The sequence below is a fragment of the Homo sapiens genome, chromosome 8 (genome assembly GCF_000001405.40).
Source record: "Homo sapiens chromosome 8, GRCh38.p14 Primary Assembly".
In the NCBI taxonomy this organism is placed as follows: domain Eukaryota; kingdom Metazoa; phylum Chordata; class Mammalia; order Primates; family Hominidae; genus Homo; species Homo sapiens.
This window is the reverse complement of record NC_000008.11, coordinates 20,138,933-20,154,559: the sequence shown is the minus strand read 5'-3', so window position 1 is coordinate 20,154,559 and position 15,627 is coordinate 20,138,933. Positions and strand designations below refer to the sequence as shown.

Below are 15,627 nucleotides of genomic sequence, written 5' to 3'. Positions count from 1 at the left end.
AGTTCATGTTCCACACCTTGCTCTCCTTTGTTGCTTCCGAGTCATTTCTTCTCTATTCTCCTTCAAAGATCTCAGCTCCTTTGAATGTCATGTCGTTAGATTACACCACCGAACCCTTGTTTGTTGCAAACATCTAGTGACCTCTTAGTTGTCCCTCCTCATTCATTAAAGCTGTCAACATCTGGTCCATGTTCTTTTCACCTCTACTCCTGTCACCATTTTTGGTGACTTCAATATCCAGGTGGATAACTGTGGATCTTGGCCTCCTAATTTTTTAATCTACTCTTTTGCAATGATCCTTTCCTCCTTCTCACCTTAACCAATTTAATCCTATTTATGCCCTCACTTTGTGTATTAGTTCATTTTGCATGGCTATAAAGGAATATCTGAGGCTGGGTAATTTATAAAGAAAAGAGGTTTATTTGGCTTATGGTTCTACATGCTGTACAAGAAGCCTGGCACCAGCATCTGCCTCTGGTGAGGGCCTCAGGAGGCCCAGCTCTTTTAACAACCAGCTCTTGTGTGAACTTACAGAGCAAGAAGTCACTCATTACCGTGAGGATGGGGACAGCACCACGCCATTCACGAGGGATTCATTCCCATGACCCAAACACCTCCCACTCAGCCCCACCTTTACCACTGGAGATGAAGTTATAACGTGAAATTTCAAGAGGACAAATATCAAGCAATATCACCTTGATGTCAGTATTAATTATATTTCCTCTGAAATCTCAATTCCAAACAATCCAGTTCTCATCTTACATATTCCCTTCTCAGGTGTTCTAATAGTCCCATATCAACAATTTTGGACCAAACTGGGATCACCAATTCACTGTCCTGAGTAATTTTTCTTCCATCACTACTCCTGTCCTCACTTCTTTCTTTTTTTTTTTGAGACAGAGTCTTGCTCTGTCGCCCAGGCTGGAGTGCAGTGGCTCACTGCAAGCTCCGCCTCTCAGGTTCATGCCATTCTCCTGCCTCAGCCTCCTGAGTAGCTGGGACTACAGGTACCTGCCACCATGCCCAGCTAATTTTTTGTATTTTTTAGTAGAGATGGGGTTTCACTGTGTTAGCTAGGATGGTCTTGATCTCCTGACCTTGTGATCCACCCGCCTCTGCCTCCCAAAGTGCTGGGATTACAGGCGTGAGCCACAGCGCCCAGCCTGTCCTCACTTCTTTCTTTCCTCAACTTGGATTCAATGGCTCATGATGGATGTCACTCTTCTGAAACTCCTCACTCCCTCTGGGCTTGTCACTTGCCAAAAACTTCACTCTAGCTAAGCTATCTTGTTGCCTACTCCTTGTCTGTAACTGAGCCATGGCATGGGGCTGCAAAAAAAACGCACAACCACGCTGTTGGTCTCACCTTATATTTATGGCCACAAACCTAAAGTGGGTTTCACATTGTCCAACAATCTTTCTCTAAGCCCCTAGTTATGTCCTCCTTCTTCTTTTCCAAAATGACTATTTTATATTTCTTCATTTTAGCCCCATATGCACTCCCGTCCCTTCACCATCATCATTCTCAGTGGTTGACTTTGCCTCCTACTCATTGAGAAAACAGAAGCTATGATAAAATGGAAGCAATGAGAATGGAACTGTCGTGTTTCCATCACTAAGTGTACCCAATATCCTGCATCTGAACCCACATTCCCAGTCTTCTCTTTAATTATGGTTGGAGCATCCCAGCCCTGATCAAAGGCCAGACTCCTCTTCTCGATTCCATCTCCCCTCACCTACTTCATTGGCTACTCCTCATCTCCTGTGCTATCTCTGCCTTCTTTGCTAATGTCTAAAGATAGGAGTCCCCCAAGGCTCAGTCCTTGGATCTCTATTCTTTATTTGTTCTTTCATAGGCAATCCCATCCATTTGCATGGCTTTAAGTATCTAACTGCCTGACAGCTCTGCTTGAATATCTACCAGTCACTTCAAACCTCTCACGTTCCCCCCATGCTCTTGCACTTCAACCAGTCTTCCCTATCTCCAGCTACCCAATCGATTAAGACAAAAACCTAGGTTATCCCTGATTTCTCACTTCCCCTCCTCACTCCCGCTATGTCTTTACCCAATCAAACAGAAAATGTCACCAACTTACCTCCAAAACCTACCATTTTGTTCACTTCTCTCCACCATGACTTCTAATCTGAGGCACCATCACTTTTCTCTTGGATTCTGCAAATAGTCTGACTTCCACTCTTGTCCCATGAACCCATTCTTCTAGGGGATTTTAGAAAATATAAATCCAATTATGTCATTTCCTTCCAAAGCTTCCATTGCCCTTGGAATAACCAGATTCATTTCTAGGACCTTCATTTTCTCACCCTCCACTTTCCTCTTATATTTCAGGCACACAGATATCCTTTCTATTCTTAGAGCAAACTAAATGATTTCTTTAAGACATCTTAATTTCCATTAGGTGCTTTTTATTTTCTGCTTGAAGTGCTCTCTTTTGGTTATTAAGGTCTCAGTTTGAATGTCACTTCCCCAAAGAAGCCTTCCCCAACCCTGAAATCCCAGATAGCCCTTCTGAGTTGCTCTGCTATATCACCACATTAAATTTCATGCACATAACTCAACACTTTTCAAAATTATCTTTTTTGTGTATTTGTTTACTTGTTCATTGTATGTCTCCCTCCCCTGGAGTGTAAGCTAGCTGAGGGCTAGAATTTTGTTTGTCTTATTCACCGCTGTATTCCCAGCCCCCAGAATACCTGACACATGGTCAAAGTTTGTTAAAATGAATGAATGAATGAATGAATGAATGGAAGAGACTCAGACAGGTTAAGTAAATTGTCCAAAGTCACAGAGCTAACAAGTCATCAAGCCATGGTTTGAATGCAAAATTTGGAGCTTTGTGTGGCTCCAAAGCCCATGTTTCCTGAACACTTCCCTCTACTGTCACAAAAAGCCATGTGTTCAGGACTTCAATTTACAAAATACTTTTGCATGCATTACCTAATTTGCTCCACATTGTAACCCGGTATGATATAATCATAGCTTTGCTTTTTCCAGATGTGGAAACCAAGGCTCAGAAAGGTTTAGTAATTAATCCAAGATCCCTCTCAGAGAAATAGAAGGGCTGGTAAGTAGCAAGGCAGGAATTCACTTCCCAGGAATTATGTATGGGTATGTGGCACCCAACCACACCACCTCTGAAGCTCACATTCTCACGCTGATAATCAAGGGTATTTTATACATGAGAACGGCTCATCAGGGCCATTCATTAGGAATCTAAGTGGGGAGCTGGAAGCACATTAAATGTACTGAGGCTAGGCCAGGTGTGGGGGCTCACATCTGTAATCCCAGCACTTTGGGAGGCCAAGGCAGGCAGGATTTCATGACCAGCCTGGGCAACATGACGAGACTCCATCTCTACAAAACAAACAAACAAACAAACAAACAAAAAAAAAACAAAAAAAAACAACTAGGTGTGGTGGTGTTCATCTGTAATCCCAGCCACTTGGGAGGCTGAGCTGGGAGGATCACTTGATCCCAGGAGGTCGAGGCTGCAGTGGGCTGAGATTGTACCACTGCACTCCAGCCTGGGTGACAGAGTGAGGCCCTGTCTCAAAAAAAGAAAGAAAACAAAAAGAAAAGTACTGAGGCTAAACAAAGCCTTGCTCCTGAAGAAAGGAGAGGTGTGGGGGTCCTATGGCAACTACTGTGGGTTTGCACAAAGGTCCCCAGATCATAAAACAAAGTGGTTTGGGGATCTTGGAAGGTTACAGGGGTGGACTTCAGTGTCTTGTACGAGACAAGGCATTTTAGAGTAAATTGGACATGTCCTAAGGTAAGGATCTGTGTCCTTCCACAGGTCTAGCTTTCTTGCCTGCCAGTGTGTCCTACCTCATTGGCACCAACCTCTTTGGTGTGTTGGCCAACAAGATGGGTCGGTATGTAGCCTCGGGATCTGGGACGAACAGTAGAAATGTAAGATGGAAGAGCGCCCGTTCCTGATCTTGGAATGATGAACAGCTTCCATACGGTTGAAAGTTTAGGATGAGTACACACCGATAAAAACTTCCCACTGGGAGGATGGGCAGTGAGTGAGTGGTGAGGGTGGTATGGAGAATGGATTGTCCTGAGCTCTGAGCTGATTGTTATAGAAGAGGCAGTGGATACATGAGGGGCACCCCTTACTTTCCATCCATTTGCTGTCCAGTTGAGGAGATAAAATAACCACAACAGAGAACAGCTATGAAAAATGCAGTACTTTGGGAAAGTAGTTTTCAAATTATGTTCTGTGGAATCCTAAGGAGTTCTATAGAGGCACCCCAGAGGCCACTGAGGAGGAAGGGTTGGGGGCCAAGAGCTATGAGTCTCCATTCTGTCCCTTCACTACAATAAGGACAGCTTTAATTTTATCTTTGGAGTTTAGCATCAAGATTTTAGAAGCACTGCCATAGGACATCAGAGAAGGAAAGAAGTTTGGTACTTTCTGTGTTTTTTGAGACAGACCTCAAGGACCAAATAAAATAGGACAGGTAGGAGGCAGTCTGAGCTGGGCAACAGCATGAGTTAAGTTTGAGGGCTACTTCTAAGGAACAAGTGCCTCCTGAGTCAGCTGATTCCTCCTGTAAGGGAAGGAAGAGTGTGTCCCACGGCACCTCCTCTGCCTTTCTATAGAAAAAGGGATGGAGCCAGGGGAGACAAGGAAAGGGCAGGGAGAGAGCTCATTTGGGTACAAACTGGTCATGTAGGGATGCTGTCCTCAGGTCCTAAGGGGTTGCTGGGATTAGGGCTGGTGGGACAGGTCAGCATGGCGGTGATGGGGTACAGGTGGAGGGGAGCTCTCCCCTAGTGGTGTTTGATGATGGCTTTTTTCTTCCAGGTGGCTGTGTTCCCTAATCGGGATGCTGGTAGTAGGTACCAGCTTGCTCTGTGTAAGTATAAGAAGACCTGGGGGAGGGGAAGGAGAGAGAGAGCGAGAGACAGACAGACAGAGAGAGAGAGAGAGAGAGAGAGAGAGGGAGAGAGAGAGAGAGAAAGACACAGACATTTAAAGACTAATTTCCTTTAAGATGAGCAGAGATGGCTTGGCAAGGACTGTCAGAAAGACTGTTTCTGAATAGGCAGGAATTTAGCACGGGGGAAGAGGCCACCAGCTGCAGTGGCTTTCCTTTGAGGGGAAGTGGGAAAGGAGAGGAAGAGGGCTGTAGGGCAGCTGGAGCCGGAGGTCTGAGGCTGTACATGTGGGCATATGAAGTGATACATGTTGGTATCCATTTCTGGGGATGGCAAAATGGTGCGTTTTATGACTTCATTTACTCATCCCACCCTGACAGAGCCTCATAAATCCCCAGGGAACCATCATCTATGTCCCAGTCTCTGGCACCAGAGGCTTGATAGAAGAAGAAAGAAAGAAGGACTTTTCCATTTCCAAGAATCCCCCTCAAGTTCTCAAAGCCTTCATTTCCTCCTCTCCCCAGTGGGGATGAGAAACACACAAACCTCCTAGGCCTGAGGGAGAGAAGAACAGGGCTACAAGGCACTGTAAACTGTGCTCAAGACCAGCTGGAGGTCCTGAGCAGGAGCATGGGATCCGGGTTCCATGGCAGGTTTTGCCACTTTCTATGCATGTGACTTTGAGCAGGTTACTTCATCTCCGTGTGCTCAGCATCCTCATCTATGTAGAGAGGGTTCTGATGGTGTCCACAGGGTTGTCAAGGTAATCCAAATAAACCACAGTGTCTGGCACATGGTGAGCCCATAGTGAATCTCAGCCAATACTATTGATAATTTATAAACATTTCTTGAGGCATGAACCCTAAAAATTGTTATCAGCCAGCAGCATCTAAACGGTATGCTAAACCCTTAAGGGGTGAGTGTCCTGGGGTAGCAGGTTTGAATGGCAGGTACCCAGAGAGGGAGGTAAGGAACCTGAAAAAGAGGGAAGAAGGGGTTTTTGTTGGGGGATTGGGAGGGCAATGGGAATGAGTCTCACAAGCTTCCTGACAGGGGACCCAAGCCACACCACCTGCCCCCTCTAGCTTACAGCTAACTGGTTGTTGGGGCCTCTTCTCTATCTTCTTTTTCCAACAGCTACCAAGTTAGAAGTCTAAATGAAACCTTTCAGTGATGTCCATAATGGAAAACAGAGGCAACTTTATTCCATGAAGAATGAGACCAGGAGTGTATGTTTAGGTGAAGAGGGGTAGAGGAAGGGGAGAAAGTATCCATGGAACAGAGGAAGACCCTCGTTAGAGCATAATGGAGCCAAGTCTGAGGTCCAAACTTGATCTTGCCACTCATTAGATCTGTAACTCTGGATAGAGCAATAAATAAACACAACAGCGCTGGTCAAGTTTTCATATCCTTAAAATGGAGGTATAGATTCTTTTCCATGAGAAAGTCTGAGAGTGCAGGAGGATGATGTATGTGGCCAATAGTGCACTCTGAATAAATGCATTTCATGTGAAAACTCTTTGAACCTTGCTCCCACCTGACCCATCTGGAGTCCTGATGACTCTTCCTCCTTCCCCATGCAGGTTCCTCTGGCTCACAATATTTTTGGTCTCATTGGCCCCAATGCAGGGCTTGGCCTTGCCATAGGTAAGAAGTGCCCTCAAAGAAAACAATAAGCCCCTGCATGTTGGCTTTGGGTCTGATGCCTTTCCTCCCCCTTTTCTCATCAGAGGAGGTAGGTGCAGAGGCAGAAGGATCAGGAGGGCAGCTGGCAGGGTTGTGGAGAGATGAGCTCGTAATTCCCACCTGGAACAGGTGTTAGTCCGAGGCAGAAGACAGCAGACAAAGCAAATGGACTAAATGGAGGAGGAGAGGCGGGGTGGTACTAACTGTGGGTGGGGCTGACTGTGTCCTGTTTGCTCTGGCCACAGGCATGGTGGATTCTTCTATGATGCCCATCATGGGGCACCTGGTGGATCTACGCCACACCTCGGTGTATGGGAGTGTCTACGCCATCGCTGATGTGGCTTTTTGCATGGGCTTTGCTATAGGTATGTTGGCAGGACCTGGTGCCCCACTTTCCCCTGTCTACTCTTTACCAGCTGGAAGTGCAGCCAGGAAGCTATCCTCCTAGGGTTCTGGAGATCTTTGACGCTGAGACATCCTCTGGGTCACCCACTGCCCCTAGCATAGTGTCCTACGTGGAGGATGCTCCATATGGAGGCTCCATAGACACTTATGACTTTGATGTATCCCTCCCAGGTCCATCCACCGGTGGTGCCATTGTAAAGGCCATCGGTTTTCCCTGGCTCATGGTCATCACTGGGGTCATCAACATCGTCTATGCTCCACTCTGCTACTACCTGCGGAGCCCCCCGGCAAAGGAAGAGAAGCTTGTAAGGAGCACCGACTGTTAAAAGAGAAATTCACTTCTGTTTCTTTCCATCATCTCTCTCATTCCCTTTCATCCTGGGCTGTTATTTCCTCCCTCTATTGCTCTGTTGATACTCTCTCTGCTTTGCCATGTTTCCCAATCCCCTTTCATCTTCATATTTCTTTTGTGCACTTCCTTAATTTCCCTTCTCTAAGTAACCACTTCCCTCTTTCTGGGGCTATCAGGAAGGGTCTTCAGTAGAGAAGGGAAATGGGGGCAGAGGACCATCAAAGACATCCTGTAGTTACTGTTCTTAGCTTGCTAGTTACTAGCAAGATGTGAGTTACCAAGTTAACTCCCTCATAAGTGGGCAGAATTCCATTGGCACATCCGTTCATCCACTCATTCACTCTAGTGCAACATTATCCTTACCAGGTCACTTTTTTTTTTTTTTTTTGATGGAGTTTCACTCTTGTTGCCCAGGGTGGAGTGTAATAGTGTGATCTCGGCTCACCACAACCTCTGCCTCCCGGGTTCAAGAGATTCTCCTGCCTTGGCATCCCAAGTAGCTGGGATTACAGGCATGTACCACCATGTCTGGCTAATTTTTTGTATTTTTAGTAGAGATGGGGTTTATCCATGTTGGTCAGCAGGTCACGTTTTTAAAAGTACAAAAACCCCAGGGAAGAGATCCATACCATAGGATTTTCTTTAATAAAGCACTTTCCTCTTACTGCAGCACAAACATCCTGAGGGCCTGATGGGTTTGGGATACCGACAGAGGCTGCTCAAGGGAACAAAAGAAGACATGAAGGTGTGATAGGGAGTGGTGGTGATTCCATTTGGCTTCCTGCTGTAACTTTCACTACCACTGTTAAATTCAGTTAAAAGCAAATGAGATACTTGTCCTGACAAGGGTTGATATACTAGGTACCCCGGGAGGCTGGTGCATGTACATGCAGAGGGTCCTATGCATGTTTCTTGAGTACTTAGCAATGCCAGCCTTGGAAGAACTAGTGGGAGGACGGAATGAGGAGATTGGTAAAAAAAAGATGTGCGGTGGTTGGCCGGGCGCGGTGGCTCACGCCTGTAATCCCAGCACTTTAGGAGGCTGAGGCGGGCGCATCACGAGGTCAGGAGATCGAGACCATTCTGGCTAACATGGTGAAACCCCGTCTCTGCTAAAAATACAAAAAATTAGCCTGGCGTGGTGATGGGCGCCTGTAGTTCCAGCTACTCTGGAGGCTGAGGCAGGAGAACGGCATGAACCCGGGAGGCGGAGCTTGCAGTGAGCCGAGATTGCGCCACTGCACTCCAGCCTGGGCAACAGAGCGAGACTCCGTCTCAAAAAAAAAAAAATGATAATAATGTGCAGTGGCTTCTCTTCTTGCCTCTCTCTGCAGGCTATTCTGAGTCAGGACTGCCCCATGGAGACCCGGATGTATGCAACCCAGAAGCCCACGAAGGAATTTCCTCTGGGGGAGGACAGTGATGAGGAGCCTGACCATGAGGAGTAGCAGCAGAAGGTGCTCCTTGAATTCATGATGCCTCAGTGACCACCTCTTTCCCTGGGACCAGATCACCATGGCTGAGCCCACGGCTCAGTGGGCTTCACATACCTCTGCCTGGGAATCTTCTTTCCTCCCCTCCCATGGACACTGTCCCTGATACTCTTCTCACCTGTGTAACTTGTAGCTCTTCCTCTATGCCTTGGTGCCGCAGTGGCCCATCTTTTATGGGAAGACAGAGTGATGCACCTTCCCGCTGCTGTGAGGTTGATTAAACTTGAGCTGTGACGGGTTCTGCAAGGGGTGACTCATTGCATAGAGGTGGTAGTGAGTAATGTGCCCCTGAAACCAGTGGGGTGACTGACAAGCCTCTTTAATCTGTTGCCTGATTTTCTCTGGCATAGTCCCAACAGATCGGAAGAGTGTTACCCTCTTTTCCTCAACGTGTTCTTTCCCGGGTTTTCCCAGCCGAGTTGAGAAAATGTTCTCAGCATTGTCTTGCTGCCAAATGCCAGCTTGAAGAGTTTTGTTTTGTTTTTTTTCATTTATTTTTTTTTTTAATAAAGTGAGTGATTTTTCTGTGGCTAAATCTAGAGCTGCTAAAAGGGCTTTACCCTCAGTGAAAAGTGTCTTCTATTTTCATTATCTTTCAGAAACAGGAGCCCATTTCTCTTCTGCTGGAGTTATTGACATTCTCCTGACCTCCCCTGTGTGTTCCTACCTTTTCTGAACCTCTTAGACTCTTAGAAATAAAAGTAGAAGAAAGACAGAAAAAATAACTGATTAGACCCAAGATTTCATGGGAAGAAGTTAAAAGAAACTGCCTTGAAATCCCTCCTGATTGTAGATTTCCTAACAGGAGGGGTGTAATGTGACATTGTTCATACTTGCTAATAAATACATTATTGCCTAATTCAGACCTGGTAAACTAGATGTTGTTTTATAGCACAAGAGAGTGTATGGGCAAATAGAGCAAATACTATAAATATTATCACACTTTCCTACCTTTTTGAAATACTTATTGGGTGATGGGATTTCAAAGAGGTGGGAGACATGGCATCCCCCTAAGTAGCTCCCCATCTGTTTGGGCAAACAGGGTGTGAACAGTGTAAAACATGATTAATGCTGCAAGTTAGTATACATTCTGTGTTCAAGTATGAACAGGTGGGATGCTCATAGGCTGGGTGGGAAATAATGGCAGAGACAGAGGTAAGAAGCAGGATGGAGAGACCCACACAGACAGGCTTTTGGGATGCCTGAATATCAGATTGGGGTTTTCAGACTTTACCTGGAATGACACCAGGGTCTGATTTTTGCACTGCTCTGTAGGAGTCTGAGGCTCCAACACAAACCCTGAATCAAAGAGCACATTCAAGCTGAACCTTTCAATGAATCTTCACCATGCAAATGATAGATACCTGACTTATGGATATGTTTTTAGGGGGCTGGCATTAACTAGACTACCTGATTTCCAAAACCAGATGTGTTATAATCATCTTTGGTCAGGATGACATCTTTCTCAGACTTTGAAGGAGCTCAAAGGTGAAATTATAAAATTGTTTGTCAAAATATATAAACTGTAAGTACACATGCAGAGTGAATGAATGACCATTGGGATACCTTACACAGGTGGCAGTGGGGTGGGGCGGGATGTGGAGCTCTGGCAATGACAGCCTGCTGACTCTGACATCCACCTGGGGCAGGGCTTATAATAAAGACTGGGCTTGCTACAGAAATGAACACATTTAAAAAATGGGAACAATTTTTTGTCAGAGAAACTGATTCCTGGCTTGCCAGCTAACATTGTTTGAACAATATGCAAAGATGTGGATAAAGGGAAGCCAGTGGACACAATTTGAGACTTTTAAAACAATTCTTGTCAAGGGTTAACACCAGGCCGGGCACAGTGGCTCATGTCTGTAATCCCAGCACTTTGGGAGGCCAAGGCAAGAGGGTCACTCGAGCTCAGGAGTTCAAGACCAGCCCGGGCAGCATGGCGAAACTCCTTCTCTACAAAAAATTTAAAAATTAGCTAGGCATGGTGGTACGTTCCTGTGGTCTCAGCTTCTCAAAGGGCTGAGGCAGGAGAATCACTTGAGCCCGGGAGGTGGAGGCTGCACTGGGCCATGATCGTGCAAATGCACTTCAACCTGGGCAATAGACTGAGACCCTGACTCAAAAAATAAGAAGTCAACACCAAACACTGTAAAGTAAGTCAGGACACTTTTTAAAATTATAGATCAGAGGTAGGTTAAAGATCATATATATAGCGTATATATGGAAGAGTATAAAAAGAAGAATTCCACAAAAATAGGAAATGGAATTAGTCTTTATTAGTGGCCTTATAAAGAAGGCCACTAATATAAAGAAGAGAATGCACGGTAAATTTCCCATATTCACAGGTCAGATGAATTTCTTGTAACAATGAAAATGCCACCCAGCAAGGATGAGCCACAAGAAGTTTTCTATGAAAGTATCATAAAATGGCACTCCACTCCACTGTGGGACAGTTGAAGAGATGCGTTTTTCCCTCATGAAAGGGAGGAGGTGCAGAGACTATAAAAATCTTTGTAGAAAGACGGGCTTTCAACCACCAATTACCATGTAGCAAAGAAGACAGTGCAACTAACGAGCTATGGTGCTCAATAAGCCAGGAAAATGTTGGAGTTTATCAGAGCATTAGAAGCAAACCAGAAGACACATCCTTTCCAAAGTACAAAAGCAGGAAAAGTGTGGCAGTTCCACATTAGGGTGGGAGCTACAGCACCTTAAATTAAGGAGGTAACTATGGAGGCTGAAGGAATGCAGAGATCACACAGGATGATGAATGGGTGGCAGGAACAGCAGTGTGGCAAGTGACAGGAAAGTTCTTATGGGGAGGGACCCAAATTCAAGGGGATGTTATTAAAGTAGCCTACACCTTTAAGGAGGCCCATTTGTGATGGCCACAGTCTCAGAACACCACTGGAGGAACTCTAAAATCACTAGAGGGCTAACTCTAGGGTGAATATTAGGAAATACTTCCCCGCTACCCACCCACTGTGTTCTTATGTATGGAATTGATTTTTCCAAGATAAAGCCTTAGCTACATAAAATAATTTTTAAAAAAATTTTAGAGACAAGGTCTTGCTCTGTCACCCAGACTGGGGTGCAGTGGTGCAATCATGGCTCACTGCAGCCTCCACCTCCTGGGCTCAAACAATCCTCCCATCTCAGCCTTTTGAGTAGCTGGGACTACAGGTGCATGCCATCACACTCAGTTTATTTATTTTTTAAATTATTTATTATTATTATTATTATTTATTATTATTATTATTATTATTTTGTAGACACAGGGTCTTGCTTTGTTGCCCAGGCTTAAAATAAATTTCCTAGTAACATTGCTCCCTACTCCTGGAGGTAGCTCTGTAATGCTTGTACGAGTCAGTCCTCTGAGGCTTACTTGAAGAAAGGGCGGTGCAGCCCTTCCACACACCTTCCCTGGATGTGTGGTTGATTCTTGGCAAGCTTTGACACCCCAGGGCTGCTGCGTTACACAATTCAGTTCTGCTGAGCTCACCCCTACAATTTCGTGTATGGGACAGGAGAACTTTCTCTGCAACAAGGCAGGAATGGAGCATGGTGGCTTTGGTACAAAGCGCTCTCTGCTGTTTCTGGGAGGTGCTGAAGAGAGAAATGGTCAAGTCACAAGGTGGTTGAGGGAGGACCAAATCAGGAATAAAGAGACATAATCCTGAGGTCCTAGCCTAGCTCTGACATTAACTAGCTGTGTGACCTGGGACAAGTCATTTCACGTCTCTGGGCTTTGGCATCAACTTCTGTAGCTCTGGCTTTCTGTGGCTCCATCTGCCACTGGCTCATTTTGGGGTGGCTTTCTGTGAGCTCAGGGGCAGGACCTGAGCGAGGAGCCAAAGACAAAGCTGAGAGGTCAGACAAAGGTGAGAACCAGCATCACCCCAGAAACACAAACGTCATTTCAGGTTTCATTTGTTGCTTTCAAGAAATTATTAGAAGCAAAGTGTGTTGTGATCCCCTCCCCTCCTCCTTGCCCTCCTTGTTGTCCTCCTTCTCCTTATCTTCTTCCTCCTCCTCTCCTCGCTCCTCTCCTCCCCTGCTGTCCCTTCTCCCCCTCCCCCCTCCTCCTCCTCCCCCTCTTCTTCCTCCTCCTCCTCCCCCCCTTGTCCTCCTCTCCTCCTCCCTGCTTCTTCTTCCCCTTTTTTCTTTCTTCTTCTGGAGAATGATGAGTACAGTGTTAGCAGAGGCATGAGCGTGGTCAAGGTCTTTTAGGATTTGTCATCCAAATCGAGTCATTATGTGGTCTCTGGAAATCATAAGGGAGAAGAGTGCAGTTTGGGGATCATACATTGCTTGTTTTGGCTATTGACCCCAGGTCAGTAATTGACAATTTTTCTTCTTTTCTTTTTCCTTTCCTTTCCTCTCCTCTCCTCTCCTCTCCTCTCCTCTCCTTTCCTTTCCTTTCCTTCTTTTTTTTTTTTTTTTGAGACAGTGTCTTGCTGTGTTGCCCAGGCTGGGGTGCAGTAGTACGATCTCGGCTCACTGCAACCTCTGCCTCTCAGGTTCAAGCAATTCTCCTGCATCAGTGTCCCAAGGGGTAGCTGGGATTACAGGCATGTGCCACCACGCCCGGCTGATTTTTTGTATTTTTAAGAGAGACAGGGTTTCACCATATTGGCCAGGCTGGTCTCAAACACCTGAGCTCAGTCAATCCACCGGCCTTGGCCTCCCAAAGCGCTGGGATTACAGGCGTGAGCCACTGCACCCAGCCAGCAATTATACCTATTAGGTAGAATTAGGGTGTGCTGAGGGGCAGCCGACCATGGTGCAGGTCACAACAGGTTGCTGAGCAAATCGTCACAGGAAAGCAGGAAGTTTTGTGTGTTCAGGTGTGACTCAACGTGCAGGTGGCCTGGTGCTCAAAGTAGGTCTGCCATGATATTCATGGAATGACAGGGAGCGGGTGGGGGAGCAGTGTTACAGTGTTGCAAACCAAAGCCCTCTGGGGAATCTCCACAACATAGAAACAATGTGACAGTGAAAACTTTGTTATTTGTAACGTGAGAATAACAATGACACAGTTGTAACAGGAGTGTAATTAAGATGAATGAGGTAATAAGAAGTAGACAAAGAACACACTTTATCAACCATAAACCCCTATTTAAGGCCAGATGCAGTGGCTCACATCTGTAATCCCAGCACTTTGGGAGGCTGAGGAGGGCGGATCATCTGAGGTCAGGAGTTCGAGACCAACCTGGCCAACATGGAAGAAACCCCATCTCTACTAAAAATACAAAAAAATTACCTGACTTTGGTGGCACACATCAGTAATCCCAGCTACTCAGGAGGTTGAGGCAGGAGAATCACTTGAACCTGGGAGGTGGAGGTTGCAGGGAGCCAAGATCACACCACTGAACTCCAGCCTTGGTGACAGAGTGAGACTGTCTCAAAAAAAACAGAAACAAAAACAAAAACAAAAACCCCACAAAACTTGTTTAAGTGCTACTTTCTATTATCAGTGAGTTCAATTCTCTTATCCTACAGAAGAGGAAACTGATGAGATGGGTCTCACTATGTTGCCCAGGCTGGCGTTGATCTCCTGGGCTCAAGAGATCCTCCCATCTTGGCCTCCCAAAGTAATGGGATTACAGGAATGATCCACTGCCACCAGCCAAAATCCATTTTTTTTGGTAACAGCTTTATTGAGATACAATTCACATGCCATACCGTTCATCCATTTAAAGTATACTATTCAGTGGCTTTAAGTATATTCACAGGACTGTGCAGCCATCACCACCATAAATTTTATATTTTCATCAGCCCAGAAAGAAATTCTGTGCCCATTAATCATCCCTGAATTTTCTTTCAACAACACCCTCCAGTCCCAGGAAACCACTAATCTTTCTTTCTCTATAGATCTGCCTATTCCAGACACTTGACATAAATGGAATCATACAATATGTGGTCTTTTGAGACTGGCTTGTTTCACTAAGCATGTTTTCAAGATTTATCAGTATACTATCACATCTGGGATTAAGTAAAAATTAAAAAAAAATTAAAGGTTCATCTATATTGTGGTATGTATCACTACCTCTTTTCTTTTTATTATTAAACGATGTCCCATTATATGAATATATTACACCTTATTTATTCATCTTATTTCATTCATCAGCTCATGGGCATTTGCGTCATGTTCACCTTTCAGCTGTTGTGAATAATGCTGCTCTAAACATTTATGTATAAGTTGTTGTGTGGGCATATGTTCTCATTTCTCCTGGGTATATACCTAGGAGTAAAATTGTTCGGTCCTGTGATAACTTGATGTTAAAACTCTGAGGAACTGCCAGACTGTTTTCCAAAGTAGCTTTCATATTTCCACAGTCAGTGGATTTCATATTTCCACAGTCGGTGGATGAAGGTTCCAATTTCTCCACATCCTTGCCAACATTTGTTATTGTCTGTCTTTTTAATTATATCCATCCTAGGGGGTGTGAAATGGTCGCTTGTGGTTTTGATTTGAATTTTTCTGATGACCAATAATGTTGAGCATCTTTTCATGTACTTATTGACCATGTATACATTTTCTTTGTGGAAATGTCTATTCAGAGCCTTTGTCCATTAAAAAAAAAAAAAATGGTTGTCTTGGCCGGGCTCGGTGGCTCACGCCTGTAATCCCAGCACTTTGGGAGGCCAAGGCAGGTGGATCACGAGGTCAGGAGTTCAAGACCAGCCTGGCCAACGTGGTGAAACCCCCTCTCTACTAGTAATACAAATATTAGCCAGGTGTGGTGGCACGTGCCTGTAGTCCCAGCTACTCGGGAGGC

General features: G+C 45.3%; 1 protein-coding gene across 7 annotated transcripts in view; it reads left to right on the top strand.

Moving 5' to 3' along the window:
* The window catches only part of SLC18A1 (solute carrier family 18 member A1), a 38,282-nt gene extending 28,577 nt beyond the window's left edge, over positions 1-9,705 (top strand). For 6 of the 7 annotated variants that reach the window (NM_001438746.1, NM_001438745.1, NM_001437771.1 and 3 more), the window contains 6 exons: positions 3,816-3,894; positions 4,833-4,884; positions 6,490-6,553; positions 6,838-6,957; positions 7,169-7,302; positions 8,684-9,705. In NM_001438746.1, the coding sequence (NP_001425675.1) occupies positions 3,816-3,894; positions 4,833-4,884; positions 6,490-6,553; positions 6,838-6,957; positions 7,169-7,302; positions 8,684-8,797 (563 nt within the window). In that variant the 3' untranslated portion in view covers positions 8,798-9,705. The remainder of the gene's footprint in view (positions 1-3,815; positions 3,895-4,832; positions 4,885-6,489; positions 6,554-6,837; positions 6,958-7,168; positions 7,303-8,683) is intronic. The other variant, NM_001142325.2, reaches the window with a different exon arrangement.
* The last annotated feature ends 5,922 nt before the right edge of the window (positions 9,706-15,627 follow it).